We start from the raw sequence: 24519 nt of genomic DNA, 5'->3' as shown, positions 1-24519 counted from the left end.
AAAAAAATAAAAATAAAAGGCACAATTGCTTAAAATACAAAATCTGTGCTCTGTGCAAAAGACACCAAACTGGAAAACTGGAGCTCCAGCTTTGACCCCCTAGTCAGCCATCACGTGGCTCTGTGAACTGAACTCCTTACCAAATACCATTTCCTTGCTATGCGAACTAAAGCAAATATATAAAATTATGTTGGATATAGAATTTCTAAAGCTCATCTCAATACCAGCTTCAACCCGAGACTCAGTTTGTGCTACGCACAGCCCAATAATTATTGTGTCTTCCTGGAAAAACGGAGCCCTTAAGCCAAATTCTCTTCCCATGTGATTAAAGAAAAAACTGTGCTAAAGACTAAACTGAGAACCTCAGCTAGAATCTACAGGATGTGATTTTTTTTTTTTAAGCCTAAGTGTATGAGTAGCATAAATCTCCAAGGTCTTCCCCGGAGGGACAGAGTTTAAAAGATGTACCCAGAAAGAACGGAGTTTTGCTGTTTGACATTTCCAAGGAAACGTTCAAGTGCCCCAGTCAAGTTCAGTCCCGTTTAAGGGAGAAAATTCGAAGTTTGTTTTTCAGCTCAGCCTGACTAGCAAGGATTTGATGAGTGTGTTTGTTTTGTGTCTTCCTGTGTGCAGTGTTGGCCTTCTAAGAGCCAGTAGGCTCTATCACGAAATAAAAACCAGCAGCCATCGATGTGCCTGCTGCCGGAATGCTGCACGTTCTCTAAGCCCCATCTTTACTCAGCAAATCAGATCATTGTGGGTCAGAGCCATGACAGCAGCCAACACTGAGGATTCTCAGGGGTCACAGGAGGGGTGACTCTTGGGTGGCTTTCTCTGCCAGACATAGTGCTTGCTGGACTTGCGTCATGACCACGCACTTCTTGGCAATGTCTAGGCTTTGCATGGTGAGAAGAGAAGGCAGTGGCTATATCAATCACTTTGTTGTTGTTGTTGTTGTTGTTGTTGTTGTTGTTGTTGTTGGAGACAGGGTCTCTCTCTGTCACCCAGGCTGGAGGGCAGTGGTGCAATCTCAACTCACTGCAGCCTCCAACTCCTGGGCTCAAGTGATCCTCCCACCTCAGCCTCCTGAGAAGCTGAGACTAAAGGCGTGCACCAGGATGCCCAACTAATTTTTAAATTTTTTTGTAGAGCAGGGTCTTGCTATGTTTCCCAGGCTGGTCTCAAACTCCTGGGCTCAAGTGATCCTCCTGCCTCAGCCTCCCAGAGTGCTGGGATTACAGGCATGAGCCACTGCACCCGGCCCACTTGTACTTAATAGTTGCCTGGTCAACTCTCTCAGGAGCTGTTGCCAGCGTTGGAACTGACCAGGAGAGAGGCAAAAACATAGTGGTGCACAGCAGAAGAGAAGGGGTTTCTGATGGGACAAGGCAACAAAATGAATGTGTCACTGGTCCAAGCAGCAAAGCACTCATTTGTCCCCTTCAAATTTCAGACCCTCAGTATTGAAATGTCCTCAGGGTGATCTGAGGAACCAGATGAGAGTCTGATGCTAGGACCTCAAATGTCCTAAAATGTATTTAGATAAAGTACTAATTATTTCTACTTCGTTTCACAACTTTGCAAGAGAAACAGCCATTTTTATTTTGAGAGGTTCTTAAATAGGCACAGGAAAGTAATATAATTTGCCAAAGATGACAGAAAGTCTACGAGAAGTTGAAGTCTTTTTACCTTTTCACGTATTTTCTTTAAAAAAAAAAAGTATCCGGTTTCTTTGCAATATGCTGCAGTTTATCCTATTTATGAGGTTTGTTTTCTTATTGGATCAAGAGTTTGCTGGGGATGGGGAAAAAGAGACTTAGGGAATTTTTAAAAACTCGCCTTAAACACTTAGGGTTATTAATTCTCACGAAGAAAAATATTTATTTAAAGAGCTGATTCATCGTATTATAACCTTGCGAATAAACATACCAAGGGGCTGAGTATAGGGAGGAAATATGGAGAATTAGTCATGAAAAGCATTCAAAGGAAGAGGCCGGGCAGGAGAATTAGCAATGAATAGGGCCAGAAGGAGAAGGGGCCGCCAGTCAGTAAGCACCTGGTATTGACAGACTTTATTTCATTTAGTCTCAACCACAGGTAAACACAGTATCTCCATTTTATAGATGTGGAGACTGAGGCATGGGGCAGTACGTACATTATTTTGAGTTCATACAGGTAATACCTGATAGATCAAGGTTGGGAACAAAGGTTGGTCTGAGGGAAGTCTCTTTTCTACTCCACATACTACGATGGAAAGAAAACTGGACTTGGCCTGGCACAGTGGCTCACGCCTATAATCCCAGCACTTTGGGAGGCCGAGGCAGGCAGATCACTTGAGGTCAAGAGTTCGAGACCAGCCTGGCCAGCATGTTGAGACCCCCGTCTCTACTAAAAATACAAAAATTAGCCAGGCGTGGCAGTGCACACCTGTAATCCCAGCTACTTGGGAGGTTGAGGCAAGAGAATCACTTGACCTCGGGAGACAGAGGTTGCAGTGAACCAAGATTGTGCCACTGCACTCCAGCCTGGGCAACAGAGTAAGACTTCATCTAAAAGAGAGAGAGAGACAGACAAAGAGAGAGAAGGAAGGAAGAGAGGGAGGGAGGGAGAAGAAAGAAAGAAAGAGAGAGAGAAAGAGAAAGAGAGAAAGGAGAGGAGAGGAGAGGAGAAAGACTAAATGTAGGGAAGGGGAAAGGGAGCTGGTCTAAGTTTTAGACCCAGCTGTACTACTGGTTGACTGTGTGGCCTTAGGAAAAATGCCGTGATTCATCTGGGCCTTGGATTTCTGAGAGATTGAGGTCTGTGAAAGATTGAGGTCCATAACTTGAGGCAAGGTCCAAGCCCATCACTTTTTTTGGAGAAATAACATTTATTCTGCCCACTGTTGTAATCTAAACCAACCTGAGAATTTGTCATCCCTCTACATCGGTGCCATTGTGAAGGGGAGCTCACTGGGCATTGGGTCAGGCATAAATTAATATGTAACAGGGAACAAGTGTGTTTGGAAAGAAATGGGCTTTATCGTGCTCATCTCAGCACTGTCCACTAATTTAATTGAAGTATAATTTAAATATTATGAAATGTAGAGATCTTTGTGATTCAAGGGGGTTTGACAATTGTATACACATATGTAAACCACCACCCAAATTAAGTTAAACAACGTTTCAACACCCCAGAAAGTTCCCTCGTGCCCCTTTCCAATGAGTTCTACCAAGAAGGAAACCACTGTTGCGATTTCTGTCACCATCAATTAGTTTTACCTGTTCCAGAACTTCACCTACGTGTAATCGTATCTGTGAATCCATCTTCATTTCTAGAGGAACAGCTATGGTTCCAGGAGGTGGGTGGCAAATTATCTTCCTGTTGACTGTGGAGTCAGGGTTGTGAGGTCCATTCAGTGGCAGAATGAAAGTCAGATGAGATGTTGGTATTTGCTTCTTCACCCCAGGAAGTTCATAGATTTTTTAAAAACGAAATCTGGGACCGGGCACAGTGGCTCACGCCTGTAATCTCAGCACTTTGGGAGGCCGAGGCAGACGGATCACAAGGTGAGGAGTTTGAGACCAGCCTGGCCAACATGGTGAAACCCTGTCTCTACTAAAAAATACAAAAATTAGCCCGGCATGTAATCCCAGCTACTCAGCAGGCTGACGCAGGAGAATCGCTTGAACCCAGGAGGTGGAGATTGCAATGAGCCAAGATCGTGCCACTGCACTCCAGCCTGGGTGACACAGTGAGACTCAGTCTCAAAACAAAAAAAAAAGAAAAAGAATCTGGTTAGGTTATTTTGTAGGGTCTAACAACATAGGTGCACACATTGCTTTTTCAATTCATTAATATTCACTTAATGAGGTGAAAGTTTTACATCCTATGCATTTATTCATTCATTGATACATTTATCCAACAGACAGTTTATTATTGTCCAATTCTGTGCCTGGGGCTGTCTACGTGCTGGTTACAAATAAGATGCACCAAGTTTGTGTCTTCCGGGGGAACAAACGATTAACCTACTACCTGTTGTGAGATGCCAGATTAATATTGCTCTGTTCACTGGACAAACCAGAGTTTGAGTCTTAGCGCCACATTTCATTACTCATCCTGTTATTTATTCAAGACTTGCTATGTATCAGGCATGGTCCAATATTGCAGTAATACAAAAATAAATAAGGCATGGATGTATCCTCAAAGAATTTACCTTTTAGGGGTTATTGATCTCTGGCAAGAAGTCCCTACTTCTGGAAAATTCTCTCTGATTTCTCCAGTGTCATGTGCATAAAAAAAAAAATCGCCGGGTGCAGTGGCTCACACCTGTAATCCCAGCACTTCGGGAGGCCGAGACAGGTGAATCATGAGGTCAAGAGATCAAGACCATCCTGGCCAACATGGTGAAACCCGTCTCTACTGAAAACATAAAAATTAGCCAGGTGTGGTCGTGGGCACCTGTAATCCCAGCTACTCAGGAGGCTGAGACAGGAGAATCGCTTGAACCCGGGAGGCAGAGGTTGCAGTGAGCTGAGATCATGCCACTGCACTCCAGCCTGGGTGACAGAGCGAGACTCTGTCTCAAAAAAAAAAATCAGTGCATCTTTTCCATCTCAAGAGGCTTTGAATGGGAATCCCTGGGCAGCTTTTAGAGAGGTATAAAGAATCTGCTGTGCCAGGAAAAGATGAGAAGACTTCTTTCTTGCAATATTTCAGGAACTTCATGGTATCGGTCAGTTCACTGTCAGCAGAGGCCTAAGAAAATAAACTGGCCGGGCTCAGTGGCTCACGCCTGTAATACCAGCACTTTGGGAGGCCGAGGCGGGTGGATCACAAGGTCAGGAGTTTGAGACCAGTCTGGCCAACATAGTAAAACCCCGTCTCTACTAAAAATACAAAAAAATAGCTGAGTGTGGTAGCACACGCCTATAGTCCCAGCTCCTCAGGAGGCTGAGGCAGGAGAATCACTTGAATCCAGGAGGCGGAGGTTGCAGTGAGCCGAGATCACACCATTGCACTCCAGCCCAGGCGACAGCGGGAGACTCCGTCTCAAAAAAACAAAGAGAGGAAAGAAAGAAAGAAAAGAAGGAAGGAAGGAGAAAGGAAGGAAGGAACGAAGGAACAAAGGAAGGAAGGAAGAGGAAGGAAGGAAGGAAGAAAGAGAGAGAGAGAGAGAAAGAAAGAAAGAAAGAAAGAAAGAAAGAAAGAAAGAAAGAAAGAAAGAAAGAAAGAAAGAAAGGGAAAGAAAACTATACACTAGACAGTACACTTTTGGGATTTTGACAGTTCCTTGAATACACAGCGTAAGTTGTCCTAAGCTAATAAAATCAATGCCTTCCCCTGCCAAAAACCCTCCCCCAACACAACACACATTCTCTGTCTCTCTCTCTCTCTCAAGGTTAACCACTGTAGCCACTAGAGGACAAAAGGTTTCAGATGCGTTCCACAGATGAACGTTTGATATCACGGGACAGGACAGAGCCAGAACAATCGCCTCCTCTTTGGCCAGAACTTTCCCATTAGTGTATCAGAAATGTGCAGGCTCCGATTGCAGAATAAGTAAACAGGACATAATGGGTTTTCAATAAATGCTACGGAGCCAGACTCCAAATCTATTTGGAGAGGTTTATTTGACATGCAGAGCCTACTGGGGGAATTGAGGACAGAGAGGTAAAGGGTGTTGAAGTTTACTAATGAAAACTGGCACAAAGGGTGGGTTGAGATCCACCTGCAAACTGCAGAGAGGTGAGAAGGTTCTGATTGGAGCAACCCGAGAAGCTGGAACACCTTTGACTGAAATATCCAGGATTGTCGGAATAATTAGAACCTTAGAAGGAAATAAGATTTGGAGAGCATTTTGGACTCCTTTTTTTGTGTGTGGTTTTTTGTTTGTTTTTGTGTTTTTGTTTTTGTGGAAAGGGAGAGTTGTTTTAAAAAACCTGAAGCCAAGCCAAGAATAATAGAAGGTCTAAAATCAGACAACTGGTTGAAGCAGATGATGTGGTTGGGCTCTGTGTCCCCACCCAAATCTCATGTTGAATTGTAATCCCCATGTGTCAGGGGAGGGGCCTGGTGGGAGGTGACTGGATCATGAGGGCGGACATCCCCCTTGCTGTTCTCGTGATAGTGAGTTCTCATGAGGTCTGATGGTTTAAAAGTGTGGCACTTCCCCCTTCACTCTCTCTCTTTCTCTCCTGCTGCCGTGATAACACATGCCTTGCTTCCCCTTAGCCTTCTGCCATGATTGTAAGTTTCCTGAGGCCTCCCCAGCCATGTGGAACTGTGAGTCAATTAAACCTCTTTTTTTTAAACATTACCCAGTCTCAGGTAGTATCTTTATAGCAGTGTGAAAACAGACTTATACAGCAGAACTTGATCCTGGGCCTCTCAATTCCCAGTCCTGAGATTTTTCTAACCCACTTTGCCCCTTTATTTATCTGCTATGTATGTAGCCAAAAGGTACAAACAAATCAAAAGCATTTGCCAACAGGAAAAAAAAAAAAAGAAGTTCATGTTCTGATAGATTGAAATTATTTTTTATCAAGATTGAATGTCTTTCTGATTTTAACCAGCAACAAATTAATTTATGCGTACATTATAACTTATTTTAACATAGACTTCTTTAAGATGTAGAAGGCCAAATGACTGGGGAAAAGAGGGAGGCTCCATTCCCAGATGAAACTTGGGGACTCCCCCGCTTCTAAAGCCTGGACTGTCCACAGAACACACTGTCCTTGGAAGCCCTTGGGAGCCTCTCTGCTGCCTGGGTCTTAACTCTCTACTAACAAGTTAATGAAATAATCAGCAAAGAGCTGGCACACTTGGAATACAATCTGAACATTGTTTCCATAGTGCCTTTGTGTCTTTGGTCAAGTTCCCTAGAAGCAGCGTGTGAGACCAGGATCCTGGTGCTTTTGGCTTATTGAAGGAATGCGCTTCAGGAAAAACATGTGAGGGAGTCTGCTAATTTGCTAGGGTTGCCACAGACTAAAAGAGGCTTCAACAGCAGAAGTTAATTTTCTCGGCTGAGCGTGGTGGCTCAAGCCTGTAATCCCAGCACTTTGGGAGGCTGAGGTGGGCGGATCACGAGATCAGGAGATAGAGGCCATCCTGGCTAACACGGTGAAACCCTGTCTCTACAAAAAAAAAAAAAAAAAAATTAGCCGGGAGTGGCGGCAGGCGCCTGTAGTCCCAGCTACTTGGGAGGCTGAGACTGGCATGAACCCAGGAGGCAGAGCTTGCAGTGAGCCGAGATACCGCCACTGCACTCCAGCCTGGGCAACAGAGCAAGACTCTGTCTCTAAATAAATAAATAAATAAATAAAATAAAAAAGGAGTTAATTTTCTCACAGTTCTACAGGGTAGATGTTCAAGATCAGCCTGTCAGTAGGTTTGGTTTCTCCTGAGGCCTCTCTCCTTGGCTTGTAGACAGCCCCCTTCTCACTGCATCCTCACATGGTCTTTCCTCTGTGCGTGAGCATCTCTGGCCTGTGTGTCCACATTTCCTCTTCTTATAGGGACACCAGTCACATTGAGTTATGGCCCATCCTAACAGCCTCATTTTGACTTAGTGACCTCTTAAAAGGTCCCATCTGCTAATACGGTCACATTTTGAGGTACTGGGGGTTAGGCCTTCAGCATATGAACTGGGGGCAGAAGACATAATTCAGCCCCTAAGAGGGAGTGAGAGAAGGGTGACCAGGATGAGGAAGCCGGGAAGCAGGATGTGATCTCTGGGAAAGCCCTGTCATAGCCTGGTCCACGGACAGGGAGGAGGTGACAGTGCAATCAATCAAACCACAGAGCTACCTGGCCTTGAAGTAAGGGATCCCAGTCTTTCTGGCTCCGTATCTGCTAGTTGACTGGCCAGTCCCCAGTGTGTATGTGGTGGGGTAAATGGGGGCATCCTGAGGTACCTACTCAGCTGTCTCCAGGCAGGGGGGCTCCTGTGAGTCAAGAACATTTTTCCAGAAAAGGCCTCTCAAATGACCCAGCAGCTGAGACAGGGGCCCCCAGCAAAGACAGTCTGGGTAAGGCACCAATGGCATCCACGACTCAGGGCTACCTCGGCTCTTCTGTGTTTCACAGACATTTACCAGACTTCTGGCTCCACTGGCTAAAGCCACACTTCCAGGTATAAACACAAGATACAGGAGGGCTGCAGGAAAGGGTGGTGCCATTTGCCAAGGGAAGGAACAGGCCAGAACCCTCTCACTCCCAGCCCAGGAGCCCAGGCCCGAATCCCTGACTTCTGGTTAGTCACTATGTCTATGAGCCCCACTTCTTTACTGACTGTTTTTTGGTTTTTGGTTTTTTTTTGAGACAGAGAGTCACTCTGTTGCCCAGGCTGGAGTACAATGGCGTGACAGCTTACTGCAACCTCTGCCTCCCAGGTTCAAGCAGTTCTCCTGCCTCAGCCTCCCGAGTAGCTGGGATTACAGGTACCCACCACCACGCCCAGCTAATATTTATTTATTTATTTATTTATTTATTTATTTGGAGACGGAGTTTCACTCTGTCACCCAGGCTGGAGTGCAGTGGTGCTATCTCGGCCCACCGCAAGCTCCGTCTCCCGGGTTCACGCCATTCTCCTGCCTCAGCCTCCCAAGTAGCTGGGACTACAGGCATCTGCCACCATGCCCAGCTAATTTTTTGTGTTTTTAGTAGAGACGGGGTTTCACCGTGTTAGCCAGGATGTTCTCGATCTCTTGACCTCGTGATTCACCAGCCTCGGCCTCCCAAAGTGCTGGGATTACAGGCGTGAGCCACCGTGCCCGGCCTAATTTTTGTATTTTTAGTAGAGACAGGGTTTCACCATGTTGGCCAGGCTGGTCTCAAACTCCTGACCTCAGGTGATCCACCGCCTTGGCCTCCCAAAGTGTTTACTCACTTTCAAATCCACCTTCTCTCCATTCTCTTTGCTATCACCTTAGTTCAGGGATCCATCATTCCTCACCCCATTACTAAAGGGTTTCTTCTCGACTCTCTGCCTCTAGTCTAAACCCCATCTGACTGAGTCTCACACCACAGTCAAATATGAGCAACTCCTTTTCTGCTGTGGGGAGGGCAAAGACGGAATCTGTCTTGTTAGGCATCATTTCTCCAATCTCGTGTCTCTTTTGTGCTATTTAACAGAGTGTGACCCTGGGCCATTTTAACCTGTCCATCAGTGTACTCATTTGTAAAATATAAATAATATGACAAAAAGGACCTTAGAGTTTGGAGAATTGCATGACCTGACACGCATTCGGCACTTAGCGCAGTGTCTGGCGCACGGTGAGCACACCGAGGGCTGCTGTGATCATCTCTGTTGCTAGTGGCCACAGTAGGCAGAGCTGTAGGACCAAGCAGAGTGCTGGGGGCATAAGGCGAGGCAAACAGAAGGTGCTAGGAGAGGCCTGGCTGTCCATTGGGATGAATACCCCTATTATTTCTCCTGATATTTCTGCAGATGGTGAAACCAAGAGCATGTGTAACCTCAGTTTCGGTCTTCATCTCTGACTTCACTGGCCTCCAAGGTCAATGTTAATGTTAGTTGATAGTTGACACTGAGTATGTGAATGTTAGATAAGGGCAAGAAAACAAAAATCCTCTCATCAAAAGAGGTGACTGGGTTCCAGTGAGCCACAACGGTTACACCTGATGTTAATAATTTCACAGGGTGAAAAACCAGCATGGGAATATTTGCTAATTGGCATGAAATCCATGCTCCCCTGGTTGTTTAGTTAACTAAAGTGCAGCCAACAAAAGCTTAAGCTATATGACTGCCTCTCTCCGGTGACCCTGGCAGCCTCATCCATCCTGCATCCTGGTCCAGCTACACTCTATTCCTCACCATCCAAGACACTCACACCTGAGGCTGGGCTGTGCCTCACCAGGCCGCTGGCTCTTCTGGAGGGGAGGCTTCCCAGCAGCCCCCACCCCCCCACCGCTTCCTGCCTGGGGCTCCTCTACCCTCCTCTCTTCCCCCTACCTCCTCTTCCACATATCAGACCCCACTGCACAGAGCCTAGGAGATAACCTTTGCCAAGATGTAAGGAACAGACACCAAATGATTTACACGTCTTTCACACAGGACAAGTTTAGGCCCATACGTTCACAGCTAGAGTGTTTGAGAGTTGGACACCAAACCATTTCCTTTCCATCAATTCAAAGGCAGGAATAATCATAACAAGAGTGACTTTTTTTTTTTTCGGGGGGGGGATGGAGGCTCGCTCTGTCACCCAGTCTGGAGTGCAGTGGCGGGATCTCAGCTCACTGCAACCTCCACCTCCCGGGTTCCAGTGATTCTTCTGCCTCAGCCTCCTGAGGAGCTGGGACTACAGGCGCGTGCCACCACACTCAGCTAATTTTTGTATTTTTAGTAGAGATGGGTTTCACCATATTGGCCAGGCTGGTCTCAAAGCCCTGACCTTGTGATCCGCCTGCCTCGGCCTCCCAAAGTGCTGGGATTACAGGCATGAGCCACCACGCCTGGCCTAACAGTGACTTTTTAAATGCCATTCCATACACTTCTCATTTTTCTCAATGTTGTTTCTATGCATTTCTTTTCTTTTCTTTTTTTTTTTTTTTTTGAGATGGAGTCTCACTCTGTCGCCCAGGCTGGAGTGCAGTGGCACTCACCGCAAGCTCCACTTCCTGGGTTCACGCCATTCTCCTGCCTCAGCCTCCCGAGTAGCTGGGACTACAGGTGCCCGCCACCACGCCTGGCTAATTTTTTTGTATTTTCTTTTTTTTTTTTTTTTTTAGTAGAGATGGGGTTTCACTGTGTTAGCCAGGATGGTCTCCATCTGTTGACCTCGTGATCTGCCCGCCTCGGCCTCCCAAAGTGCTGGGATTACAGGCGTGAGCCACCGCGCCTGGCCTAAGAGTGACTTTTAAATGCCATTCCATACACTTCTCATTTTTCTCAATGTTGTTTCGATGCATCTCTTTTCTTTATCTGCCTTTAATCACCCTCTTTCCCCTCTCTATTTTTCTCCTTTTTTTCTTTTCTTTTCTTCCTCCCAAGTCTGGTCTGTCTGCTTGGGCCCCCATCTCATTTCCCGTTTCCTCATGAAGGCTGTGACACTCTATGAACGCCTCACTATAAAAAGCAGAAGGAATCAGACCCCACTGAGTAGTGCTGCAGGCCCTGAGGACGCTGTTCCGGAGAGCTCTGTCATTCTCCCTAACGCTCACAGACACAGGAACATGAGTCATCAATGAGACAGTGTTGCCACCCGCCTTTCTCCCAAGCCTCCCTATAAAAAGAGGAAATGGCCTCTGACACTGCGATGTATGAACAAGAGTTCCACACACAGCACACAGCCTGAGAACTTCTGCCATGGACTTCCGCACTGCTTATAGGATGTTGGTCTCATGTTTGGGTTTTCAACCTCAAATCCAAAGGAAACGTCACTTGAAGTATGATTTGTAGGGAGCAATATAAAGACTGATTCAGAAGGAAAAACAAAGGTCAAATGGTACCACTGTGATATGACTTCTACAATTTAAAAAATAATTCTACCTTTTTAAAAGAGTATTTTGGCAATGGAGAAGATGGACATGAAAAGATCTATAATTAGGCTGGGCGTGGTGGCTTACGCCTGTAATCCCAGCACTTTGGGAGGCCGAGGAGGGTGGATCACCTGAGATCAGGAGTTGAAGACCAGCCTGACCAACATGGAGAAATCCTGTCTTTACTAAAAATACAAAAAATTAGCCAGGTGTAGTAGCGCGTGTTTGTAATCCTAGCTACTTGGGAGGCTGAAGCAGGAGAATCGCTTGAACCTGGGAGGCGGAAGTTGCAGTGAGCGGAGATCGCACCACTGCACTCCAGCCTGGGCGACAGAACAAGACTCTGTCTCCAAAATAAAAAATAAATTAAAAAGAGCTATAATTGTTTTTAAAGTGCATAAAGCAATATTATGGAAGAAAAACGATCAATTAGCGACACCAATCAATAAAGCTGGAATGAGACATAATTAAGCTAGTTCAAAGGAAAGTCTGATGAAAGATTACAAAAAGCTCTCTAATTATGAGAGGAAAGAAGAATCTCAGGCAAGACTGCCAAGGAGGTTACAAATTTGTTAACCCTGCAGCAGAAATGAGAAACTCAACAATTAAAGAGAAAATAAAAATCAATGTCATTCCAACAATGGACAGGCTCCATTCTCCAGTTAAAAGGATCTACCACCAGCTTTAAAGTCATCAGCCAAGTTCTTTCCAGATTTCTCAGAACCACACAAGCAAACACACATGGCAAGAGCAACCCTCAACTCACTCTATTATGAGTACAACTCATCAAGGACTGAGGACCCTGGAGCATTTCTTCTCCAAACTCTGATCTTCCAGATGCCAAACAAAGTAGGCTGATAGACTGGCCTGAAGGTAGTGAGTTATCTCAATTGATTATTCAGTCAGTTACAGATTGAACTCCTGGTTCTACTCTTTCCCTCCTTCTCACTACTGCACTTGACTAGCCCTAAAAAAAAAAAAAAAAAGAGAGAGGCTAATAATTTGCTCGACATCAATAAAGTCATCTGTGAAAAATATAATTTTTTTTTTTTTTTTTGAGATGAAGTCCCGCTCTGTCGCCCAGGCTGGAGTGCAATGGCAAGATCAATCTCAGCTCAGTGCAACCTTCACCTCCCGGGTTCAAGCAATCCTCCTGCCTCAGACTCCCAAGTTGCTGGGATTACAGGTAAGGGCCATCATGCGCAGCTAATTGTTTGTGTTTTTAGTAGAGATGGCGTTTCACCATGTTGGCCAGGTGGTCTTGAACTTCTGACCTCAAGTGATCCACCCGCCTCTGCCTCCCAAAGTGTTGGGACTACAGGCATGAGCCACTACACCCAGCCTGATTTTTCTGTTTTCAATCAGGCAGACTGAAAATAGAAAGGACTAGAAATGATTAGAGAATTAATCTAATACCGTAAAACCTAAGTGAAACACCTTTTCTGCTTTTACTTTTTTTTTTTTTTGACACAGAGTCTCCCTCTGTCTCCCAGGAGGGAGTGCAGTGGCACGATCTCGGCTCACTGCAAGCTCTACCTCCCAGGTTCACGCCATTCTCCTGCCTCAGCCTCCCGAGTAGCTGGGACTACAGGTGCCCACCATAACGCCCGGCTAATTTTTTGTATTTTTAGTAGAGACGGGGTTTCACTGTGTTAGCCAGGATGGTCTCGATCTCCTGACCTCATGATCCACCTGCCTCGGCCTCCCAAAGTGCTGGGATTACAGGCATGAGCCACCATGACCAGCCTCTGCTTTTTCTTATTCCACCAGCAACCCAGACAGAATTCTTTTTTTTTTTTTTTTTGTGACGAAGTCTCGCTCTGTCACCCAGGCTGCAGTGCAGTGGCGTGATCTCGGCTCACTGCAACGTCCACCTCCCAGGTTCAAGCAATTGTTGTGCCTTAGCCTCCTGAGTAGCTGGGATTACAGGCGTGTGCCACCACAATTGGCTAATTTTTTTTTTTTTTTTTGGTTATTTTTAGTAGAGACAGGGTTTTGCCATGTTACCCAAGCTGGTCTTGAACTCCTGAGCTCAGCCAATCCACCTGCCTCAGCCTCCAAAGCACTAGGATTACAAATGTGAGCCACCATGCCCGGCCAGAATTCGTTTTTTATTGATTATTCAGAAAGTGTTAACGTTTAGAATTGACACTCTGAATCCCGTTTCATTTTCTTGTTTTCTCTGCTGAGGTAGAGAGGACACACGACACACCCCAGAAGGAGGACATCTTCACATTTTGAGTCACCGTGCCCAGTTCTGGCCCCAGAACCCACCAGGCACTGGGAGGATCAGAGCAGACGTCAGAGACGTCTCATGCTTCTAGACACTGCCATTCCCATCTCCTTCTTTGCTGCAATAGAGCAGACTTCTGGAATTGGCAGTAAACTGGCATTTGCTCTCCTCGTGTAAAAGAAAATCTGCTTCAGAGAACAAGTAGCAAATTCCCCAAAACAAACACTTATAATTAAGTAGTGTGTGTGTGTGTCTTGGTTATAGGCCACTAACAATGAAAGGGCATATCCCAGTGTGAATTTGCATTTGAATTCTTACCAAGGAGGCAGGCCCAGCAAACCAATTAACTAATTAAATCAGTTAACCAAATATGTAATTAACCTTGAGAACAGAAGTGTCAACAACAGAAGCACAACAAAGAAAGTAGCCTCCTCCTGGAATTGTCTAGTGGTTTTAAGCCTTTTAGTTTTCTGTCTTAAAGGCATAGCTACAGAGGGAAAATATTGCCTGGGCATTAAGACCAGTGGCCACACAATGTCATCCTATGGACTGGATGGAATCAAGCCAAAGGCAGTGTTTCCCACTTGTTCCGGCCCATCGTCTGTAAGTAAATACACAGGAGTTTTGGAGGACATGGTCCATGAAACACTGGCCCATTCATAGTCATTCCTTTTGGGAACACACGTGTCCACTATTAGGAAAAGGGAACTAGCTAGAAATTTCCAAGACAGATCCTCCCTTGGAGATGACAATACCTGGTAATTCAGACAATTGATTCTAAGACAAAAGGGACCAAGAAAGGAATGGCAACCTCTGCTAAACACAGTTATGGCAGGCTGTTGTTTGGACTGAGCTCCGACTCTGGGCCCCAGCAATTAGCCTGAGTGACCAGTATGGAGTCAGTAAGGCTAATTGCCATGAGATCTGAATGAACTCTGGCCAACATGGTAAAACGCTGTCTCTACTAAAAATACAAAAATTAGCAGGTCTGAAACAGGCCTGTTTTCCCAAAACAGAAGCTATACAACAACCAGGCAAAAGGAGCCTAGTGTACCAGAGCCTGAGTGACAAGGAAGTTCCCCTCTGTTTTAACCATCTGTAGGGAAAGTAAATTTGAAATGATCAATCCACTTTTTGTCCCCTATTTTTGCTCTCTTCAGCCTTTTTCTGCCTATAAAGCAAACCTCCTGTGCTCCGCCCATCAGAACACTCACTCTACCGTGTAGAAGGAGGCGCTGCCCCATTCTAGCATCACACATAAAAGGCAGTTCGATCTTTAAAGTGGTTGTAATTTTGTCTTTTGACAGCTTTATTTTATAGAGGTTTGACCTGTACACAGAAATCCCTGGGAAAGAGGAACCTGTGTGGCTGTAGGAATTCTATAGTGCTCTGTGCAATTCTGACACATGGAAATTTATCATTACCAAGACAATACATTAAAGCCTTGATGTAATGACTTTTCAGTAGCTCACCTTATAAAATTTTAGTTTTTCAAGTAGCTTCAGAAATGTTACTTAGAATTAATGATGTGAAAACACTAAGCTAGGTTTGATGCCTTCATGTAGCTTTCACTTAGGGGTGGTGTGAAATTCACTCAGAAAAAAAAATAACCAACAAAGAGTTATATGTTAAACAGCAAAAAGAAAATAATACAGACTAGAGCCAAATATTTATTGACTGAGTAAGGAAGATGATTTAGACCATTATTTACATCATTTCAGAAAAACCTACATCACAAAGGAGAGGTAACACGACCAAATCATTAACAGGGAAGCGAAAGCAACTGCACCAGGAACCTGGAGTCTTATCAGGAGAATAAATATGTATGTGAAATCTCATACTGGATTTTCCTGTTCCTTTCCTATAAAAGACGTGGTTTCCGATGTTGACCTGGGGCAAAATCAAAGCTCACCTGGGCTAAGTCAGCACACAGTTCCTAATCCTTAGGTAAAAAGATACACTTGTGAACAGTAACGCTCAGTCAAGCTCACAGCCTCTCCACATCATCAGGGAGTTAACGTGCAATTTATAAGCAGGCTAGGATGTTTGAAGAATCCCATTCCATTCACTAAAAACCCAGGGATCTCATTCCCACCCTAAGTGCAGGGCAAGCCCTCGGTATTGTTTCAGTTAACATTCCTGGGCCTCAGTTTCCTCGTCTGAAAAAGGAAGGGACTTTGGAATGGGAAATCTCTACGATCCCTCTCATGATTCAGATAGGCTATTTTTCTTTTCCACCAATAGAGGAAGAGACTTTCTGACAGCCAACATTTCCATTCCTACTATTTTGGAACAACCAGAACACTGAAAATTTGGTACGAAAAGCTTTTCTTACGATAAAGAGATAACATTTCCTTAAGAACAGTTGCTGAAACTTCAGCTGGGGAACTTATCAAATAAAGAAACCACCTCATTTCAGACTATGGGCTGAATCCAATAAAGTCAAACCCAACGCCTCCCAGGAATTTAGAATTACACAGTTGTTGATCAAGTGGAGAGAAAAGAATGTGAATTTGTTTTTTCAAGATTCTCTAACACCATATGAACTGTGGCTGCCTTTTCTTTAAATCATATAATGGAAAAAAACAAACTTCTAGAAAAAGATATGTATCATCTCCTCCAAGTGGTGACTGGTCCCTGCTCAATGTGTTGTGGTTTACCTTGCCTTGAACCCAAAACAATCCCTTGTCCTCACAGAGCCCTGGGGATGTCTGGTGGCAGCAGGAGGCTGAATTCCTATTCTAAGTTGCTTCCAACAAATTGTATTCCGTCTACATCTGTGCAAGTTAAGTGTGTTAGTACTGACGTGGCATGGATTTGTTAATCATTTTAATGTTTGATAGACTGATAATACATAATGTTAATGTTAAATATTAAATGTAATGGGTTTTGTTTGTTTTTTGAGACGGAGTTTCACTCTTGTTGCCCAGGCTGGAGTGCAGTGGCGCAATCTCAGCTCGCTGCAACCTCTGCCTCCCGGGTCCAAGCAATTCTCCAGCCTCAGCCTCCCGAGTAGCTAGGATTACAGGTGACTGCCACTACACTCAGCTAATTTTTTTGTATTTTTAGTAAAAACGGGGTTTCACCATGTTGGCCAGGCTGTTTTTGAACTCCTGGCCTCAAGCAATCCACCTGTCTCAGCCTCCCAAAATTCTAGGATAACAGGCGTGAGCCACCATGCCTGGCCTAAATGCAATGTTTAAACTAAGTATACAATGTTAATGTTAAAGTGTTTTCTTAATTGCTTTTTTTTTTTTTTTTTTTTGAGATAGGGTATTTCTCTGTCCCCCAGGCTGGAGTGCAGTAGCAGTAATCACAGCTCACTGCAGTCTTGAAATCCTGGGCTAAAACAATCCTCCCACCTCAGCCTCCAACATGGCTAGAATTACAGGTGTGAACCACCACACTCTGCCAGATACTTTTTCACTGGAAAGAATATAGAAACAAAAACTAGAAACAAAATATTCCAAGCCTTTTGCAAGAGAGGAGTCTCTAGGATGGGACTGTGTCTGGAGCTGGTTCCTTCCAGTGGGTCCGTGGTCTCGCTGATTTCAAGAATGGAGCCACGGACCTTTGCGGTGAGTGTCACAGCTCTTAAATATGGCACGGACCCAAAGAATGAGAAGCAGCAAGATTTATTGTGAAGAGTGAAAGAACAAAGCTTCCACAGTGTGGGAGGGGACCCAAGCAGGTTGCCCTGCTGGCTGGGGTGGCCAGCTTTTATTCCCTTATTTGTCCCCACTCATGTCCTGTTGATTGGTCCATTTTACAGAGTGCTGACTGGTCCATTTTACAGAGCACTGATTGGTGCATTTTACAAACCTCTAGCTAGCTACAGAGTGCTGATTGGTGCATTTTACAAACCTCTAGTTAGCTACAGAGCACTAATTGGTGCGTTTTACAAACCTCTTGTAAGACAGAAAAGTTCTCCAAGTCCCCACTCGACCCAGGAAGTCCAGCTGGCTTCACCTCTCAGGATCTCATTCCAATACTGAGCAGCCAGGCAAAGGTCAAACTACTTCCTCAGAGCAGCCAAGAAGCTTGAGAAAATTTCCAAGATTCCTAAGAAAAATCCCCTGTCCTCTCCCTTCCAGCCTGCACAGCAGCTTTCCTTTCATCCTTTGCTCCCCAAAGCCAACCACTGAGCTGCCTGTGTCTTCCTTGCATGGATTTAACATTATCACACATTGACTTACATAAAATAAACATCTTACACTGAAACATAAAAAGGCTCAAACCTGTAGAATCGAATGAAGCTCCTGCCTCACCTTAAAATTGTTATAGAGCTAATGGCCTTTACACATATGTACTGAGTCCATAGCATTTCGTTCTTACTCCTGTTCTTACTCCTTCTGGGCAAGAACTATGATTACTTATCTTCTTCCCCTTAACACATAGTTTGAATGAATTCGTTATAAGAAATGGAGATTGTAGGTCAGGCGTAGTGGCTCATGCCTGTAATCCCAACACTTTGGGAGGCCGAGGTGGGTGGACCACCTGAGGTCAGGAGTTCGAGACCAGCCTGGCCAACATGGTGAAACCCTGACTCTATTAAAAATACAAAAATCAGCCTGGTTTGGTGGCACATGCCTGTAATCCCAGCTACTCGGGAGACTGAGGCAGGAGACTCGCTTGAACCCAGGAGGCAGAGGTTGCAGTTAGCCAAGATTGCGCCACTGCACTCCAGCCAGGGCGACAGAGGGGGACTCCCTCAAAAAAAAAAAAAAGAAAAAGAAAGAAAGAGGAAGGAAGGAAAGGAGGGAGGGAAGGAGGGGGGAGGGGGAGGGGAGGGGGAGGGGAGGGAAAGGAAAAGGAGATTGTAAAAATTCCTTGTAGACTCTAGGTGAGTTTAGGGATAAAATTAAAGTAGTATGTTAGTAGTTCATCATTATGAAGATACAACATTATGTGGTGGGATTATTATATTTTAGATTTCCAGATTACCTTTCTGAAAGCAAAGGCCTGTTTTCTCCTCAATGATATATAGCCCTCTCCCTGGAACCTGATTCAATATAACACATGGTACATTTAACCTGTATCCCTATTGTCACAGAAACTTCCAGAGAAGCAGACAGTACCACTGTGTATTTGAACATTCACTAAAATAATGTTTTCTATGGTTAGAAAAACACATACAAACACATACACACACTTTGTTAGAGTGTCTTATAACTTAAGCTCTTGTTCCTAAATAAAAATATATTTCTGGAAATTTCTTTCAGAGGAGGACTAACTTCTACACAAGATGCATTGTACACATTGATGAGTTAAACAGTTCACATGAAAATAACCCTTTTTATTTATAGGCTTTGGGAACTAGCTTAAGTAAAAACACTGGTAAACAAGTCTTGAAATAATTTTTCCTCTATATAATCTCTTTTAAATGGACCATTTGATTTATGAATAAAGTGATTATAATGCAAATGCTGTTAAGGAAAGAACATATGTAAATGATTAGAAACTATTGGGGATGTCTTCATGGTGTATTGAGTCTGATGTGTGATATATTCATGGCAGCTACTAAACTGTATGGATATTTCCACTTCAGGGTTGCTATTTTGTGTAAACTCACCCAGCTTACTAAATAGAGCTTAGGCATCTAGAAGTGAAATCCAATGTGCAGTCAGCAAAATGATCTCTCAGCAACAAGCCACCTTGACCAAAGGGTGCAAAAGAACCCAAGGAACACCAGGCCATAATTACTTCCACTGGCAGACCTAATCTGGGGAGAAAATGCTTTTTTAAAAAATTCTTATTTAAAAAAATCCATTCTGCCAGTTTTCAGACAAAAAAAAAAATTTTTGTCGCCAAAATATAAACTTCCCAGAGAGGCTCACACATAAACATACTTAAAACAGCTAGCGCAAATAGCTCTCTTCCAAAGAATGGGTATGTCTTTGTTATAAATTGTATAAATGGTTACATAGTACAGATTATAATTGTTTCCCCACAGAAAAGTAATTAAGACGAAGTTTTTTTCTAATATTAATAAGCAAAAGTGGCCAACTTGTATCATTAAAGTATAACTCCAAATAAGTAAGATATACTGGAACTAATTTGAATTGCTAAAGCATTTTAAGATGTTACAGCTCTTTTTTTTTTTTTTTTTTTTTTTGAGACAGAGTCTCGCTCTGTCCAGTGGCACAATCTCTGCTCACTGCAACCTCCACCTCCCTGTTCAAGCGATTCTCATGCGTCAGCCTTCCGAGTAGCTGGGACTACAGACACACATAAGATGTTACAGCTCTTTGAAGTCATTCCCATAGTCTTCTAATGCAACAAGTCATTGTCACTAATTCAACTGAAAAGGTGAAAAGTTTGCCAAAAGCATAAACTAAGTCTGAGGAAGTACTCCTTCTCTTGTTTGTCTTTTATTTTTTTAACTTAAAGGGGGAAAAATGTACTGATAAATATTTAAACAATAGATATATTATTTCATATTAATGATATTTAAATATAAATACGACTTAATACTATTATTTGATATTGAGATTTTTTAAAGGTACTGATTCTATTTTAAATAATATATTTAATAATATTTGAGGAAATGCTTATGAACAGTAAAAATTAATGATTAGGAAAAATACTACAAAAAAGGGAACTGAAAGAATTTACAGTAAGCTAGGGGAAATCCCCTCTGGAAAGCGTCTCCACACATCTACTCTCATTAAGGAAAAAAAAATAGCATGTGATTGAAGTGTTCCAAAACAGAAAATGTAAAAACAGAGTTTTCAGAAATATCAGGAAGCAGCTGAGCATGGTGGCTCACGCCTGTAATCCCAACACTTTGGGAGGCAAGGAGGGTGGATCACCTGAGGTCAGGAGGTCGAGACCAGACTGGCCAACACGGTGAAACCCTGTCTCTACTAAAAATACAAAAATTAGCCAGGTGTGGTGGCTCACGCCTGTGATCTCAGCTACTCAGGAGGCTGAGGCACGAGAATTGCTTGAATGCGGGAGGCAGAGGTTGCAGTAAGCCAAGATTGTGCCACTGCACTCCAGCCCGGGCAACAGATCGAGACTCTGTCTCCAAAAAAAAAGAAACATCAGGAAGCCAGTATCAGATCCTCAGTTATCAACAAGGCCATGGATAGTGAGAATTACGTTTTGTGCTAGAATGAAAACTGTATCACATGGAATATGGTGCTTCATTCATCTAAACTTAGATTGGTAGTCTACATTAGGAATTAGTCTTCTGGAAATGGGGTTCTAAATTTTTTTTTCTTTTTTTGAGGCAGAGTTTTGTTCTTGTTGCCCAGGCTGGAGTGCAGTGGCATGATCTCAGCTCACTGCAACCTCCACCTCCCAGGTTCAAGCGATTCTCCTCCCTCAGTCTCCCAAGTAGCTGGGATTACAGGCATGAGCCACCATGCCCAGATAATTTTGTATTTTTTAGTAGAGATGGGGTTTCTCCATGTTGGTCAGGCTGGTCTTGAACTCCTGACCTCAGGTGATCCGCCCACCTCAGCCTCCCAAAGTGCTGGAATTACAGGTGTGAGCACTGCACCCAGCCTGGGGTTCTAAATTATTCACTGAATTCACCTTTCTGTCCACTGCCCTTCAGGGCAGAGGGGTGAGTTTGCCAATTCCATAATTCTCCATGGTAACCATTGGCTGTAAATTCCGGACATGCATCTCTCCAAAGTATGGATGAATCAAAATGTGTAGTCAGAATAAAGAACAGAGTGATATCCTTCCATTCCCATCTCTTTCCTTCCCCTGTCAGTTTATTAATAAAATATCATCTGCAGAATATTTAACACTGGAATATCTAGCCATTTTTACGAACCACAAGACTAGGGGAAACATCTCCATGTGGTGAAAGTAACTTTGAGTTATAAACATGATACTTAATGCACAGGGCTTCTTTGCTATGATGTAGCAAGCAAAGGTTTCAGCTGTGGTTAAAAGTTACTTTTTTATTCCTGGTAAAAAATAAAATAAAATAATTTTTACAATAAAAGACTTTCACCAGGAGCGGTGGCTCACATCTATAATCCCAGCACTTTGGGAGGCACAGGCAGGAGGATCACTTGAACCCAGGAGTTTGAGATCAGCCTGGGCAACATAGTGAGACCCTGTCTTTACAAAAAAATACAAAAATTAGTGGGGCGTGATGGCATATGCCCATGGTCCCAGCTACTTGGGAGGCTGAGGTGGGAGAATCACTTGAGCCTGGGAGGTTGAGGCTGCAGTGAGCCAAGATGGCACCACTGCACTCCAGCCTGGGCAACAGAGTGAGACCCTGTCTCAAAAAAATAAATAAATAAGCTGGGTGAAGTGGCTCACACCTGTAATCCCAGCAGTTTGGGAGGCCGAGGTGGGCGGATCACTTGAGGTCGGGAGTTCGAGACCAGCCTGACCAACACAGAGAAACCCCGCATCTACTAAAAATACATAATTAGCCGGGCGTGGTGGTGCATGCCTGTAATCCCATCTACTCAGGAGGCTGAGGCAGGAGAATCGCTTGAACCTGGGAGGCAGAGGTTGTGGTGAGCCGAGATTGCGCCGTTGCACTCCAGCCTGGGCAACAAGAGTGAAACTCCATCTCAAAAAATAAATAGACAAATAAAATAAAATAAAAGATTTTTTTTAAAGTTAGCAACTTGTAAAAATGTTTCAGTAGGAAAGTTCTGTGATGAGACTGTGATGCTTGATGGTCAACATCAGCTTGTTGGCTTTTACCCCAGATAAGCCTTTTGACTTTTTACCCCAGATAACAGCCATTGACTGTCCACGATTGTCATCATGCAGCTATATTTGTCATAAGCATCATGTGCTTGGATACATTATGTCATAAGCATAAATGTCCTAGAGTAAATTGTACACGAGTTGCATTATGTGCTAGATGTCTATCCAAAGGAATACTCTGGCAATTCATTTGGCAAAGTAATAATTTTGTGTGCATGTGCAAGTATATACCAATTTATGCAATAAAAATTTTTGAAGTATGAGTAGGTCCTTCGAATGCCTGTTTTATAAGTCTTTTTTTCTTCTTACCAGGTCTGCTTAACATAAGGTTTGCAGCCAAGCGCGGCCACTCATGCCTGTAATCCCAGCACTTTGGGAGGCCGAGGCGGGCGGATCATGAGATCAGGAGATTGAGACCATCCCGGCTAACACAGTGAAACCCCGTCTCTACTGAAAATAGAAAAAATTAACTGGGTGCGGTGGCGGGTGCCTGTAGTCCCAGTTACTTGGGAGGCTGAGGCAGGAGAATGGCGTGAACCTGGGAGGTGGAGCTTGCAGTGAGCCAGGATCGCGCCACTGCACTCCAGCCTGGGTGACAGAGCGAGACTCCATCTCAAAAAATAATAATAATAAAATAAAATAAGGTTTGCATATTGGTTATAAGCATTTTCTCACATCAGTCTAATACCTTGTGGCTACTGATTTCCTGCACTGGGAGTCAGCAGACCTCATGGCGATGCAAAACGTCTGCCAATGTATATTAAAAGGAAACCAAGTAAGAACAGACTTTGCCGCCATTTGGGCAACTCCTCACGTAGATGCTTGGCAAGTAACAGTCAGAGACAGTGTGCTATTGTTCAAATGCACAGACTGGATTCTGATGAGCTGGATTCTGATGAATCTCAGTTGTGCTACTAACTAACTGGAATTATGCAAGTCTCTAAACTTGTGTTCCCACTTCTAAACATTGTGGGCAATAATAATATCACCTCCCACATTGGGCTGTTGTGAAGGCTTAAATTAGTAAGATAATGAATATGATAAGTTTAACATAGTACCTGGCACATTGTAAATTAATGAATAAGCATCACCTATTATTACCAGCATAAAAACTTACCAATTAAAAAAAAGGGGGAGGGAAGACGGATTTGAGTAATAATAAAATGCTCAGAAATAGCTCCAGTGGGACATTGCCTTATCCAAGCCAGCTTCAGCACCTTCCCTAAGTCCTTTCCCCATTTCCAGCTGCAAAGAAGACTTCAGAGTCAGAAGTTTCCACTAGCTCTGAACAAGGGTTGGCAGCAGTCTCAGGGCCTCCATCCATCCAGCCCTCATTGGCTCCCACCCACATTGTGCCAAGCAGAGTATCCACAGGATATGGAGTCATCTTCCGTGGTCCCAGCTGGATTTGATTGCGCTGTGATGACTTGGCTGTTGCAGAGGCTAGATTGAAAGCATGTCTCAACTTCACCTCTTGAATGCAATGCTGTTTATATTTGCCTAATATTTTTCTCCCCCTTGGGTTATTTGAAGATCATGCCAAACTTTTGTTTCTTTTAACTGGATAGAGTATTCTATAAAGATATTTTAAAGCAGTTATTCTCATCGACATTTTGCAAATCTGGAAGAGAGTTTTTATAGCTATACAGCCGTTCTCTCACCATGGCCTGGCTCCACATACAGCAAAGTGATCCTTCTAACCCAGATCACGCCCCCACTGTACTCCAAACCACTCACTGCCTTCATCTTAGGATGGAAAATAACATCCTCAGATGGTTTACAAGGACTCTGCAATGTCCCCTTGCTCCCATGTCATCTTCCTCCACTCTCCCCCTGCCTTTCTTGCTAGCCCTTGAATAGCCCCAAATATGTTCCTGCCTTGAGGCCTTTGCACTTGCTGTTCCCTCTGCCTGGAATGCTCTTTGCCCTACATATCTGCACAGCTCACTTCCTTCTGTTGTCATTTCAAATGTCACCTTCTCAGGCAAGCTTCTCCTGTCATCCTACCACCTTACATTATATTTTTGTTTATTGATTTATTAGATGGCTCCTGCATTACAATGTAAAGTAGGTAACACGATGGCCTTGGCTGGCAGGGCTCACGCCTGTAATCC

General features: G+C 44.0%; 1 long non-coding RNA gene across 1 annotated transcript, besides 1 other annotated feature; it reads left to right on the top strand.

Moving 5' to 3' along the window:
- Positions 1 to 12541: 12541 nt before the first annotated feature.
- Positions 12542 to 24000, top strand: LOC124900947 (uncharacterized). Its single transcript, XR_007058707.1, has 2 exons — positions 12542 to 12667; positions 22718 to 24000. It is a non-coding gene; the product is annotated as an uncharacterized LOC124900947 (long non-coding RNA).
- Positions 20294 to 20588: a silencer, noted in NCBI's record as "tiled region #7707; K562 Repressive non-DNase unmatched - State 24:Quies". NCBI's record gives its function as "represses a minimal TATA promoter and a strong SV40 promoter by Sharpr-MPRA in K562 cells {active_cell/tissue: K562}" and the evidence as "EXISTENCE:reporter gene assay evidence [ECO:0000049][PMID:27701403]".
- Positions 24001 to 24519: the final 519 nt, after the last annotated feature.

The sequence above is a fragment of the Homo sapiens genome, chromosome 5 (genome assembly GCF_000001405.40).
Source record: "Homo sapiens chromosome 5, GRCh38.p14 Primary Assembly".
In the NCBI taxonomy this organism is placed as follows: domain Eukaryota; kingdom Metazoa; phylum Chordata; class Mammalia; order Primates; family Hominidae; genus Homo; species Homo sapiens.
Note: the sequence above shows the minus strand (reverse complement) of the source record. Positions and strands in the feature narration are given on the sequence as shown.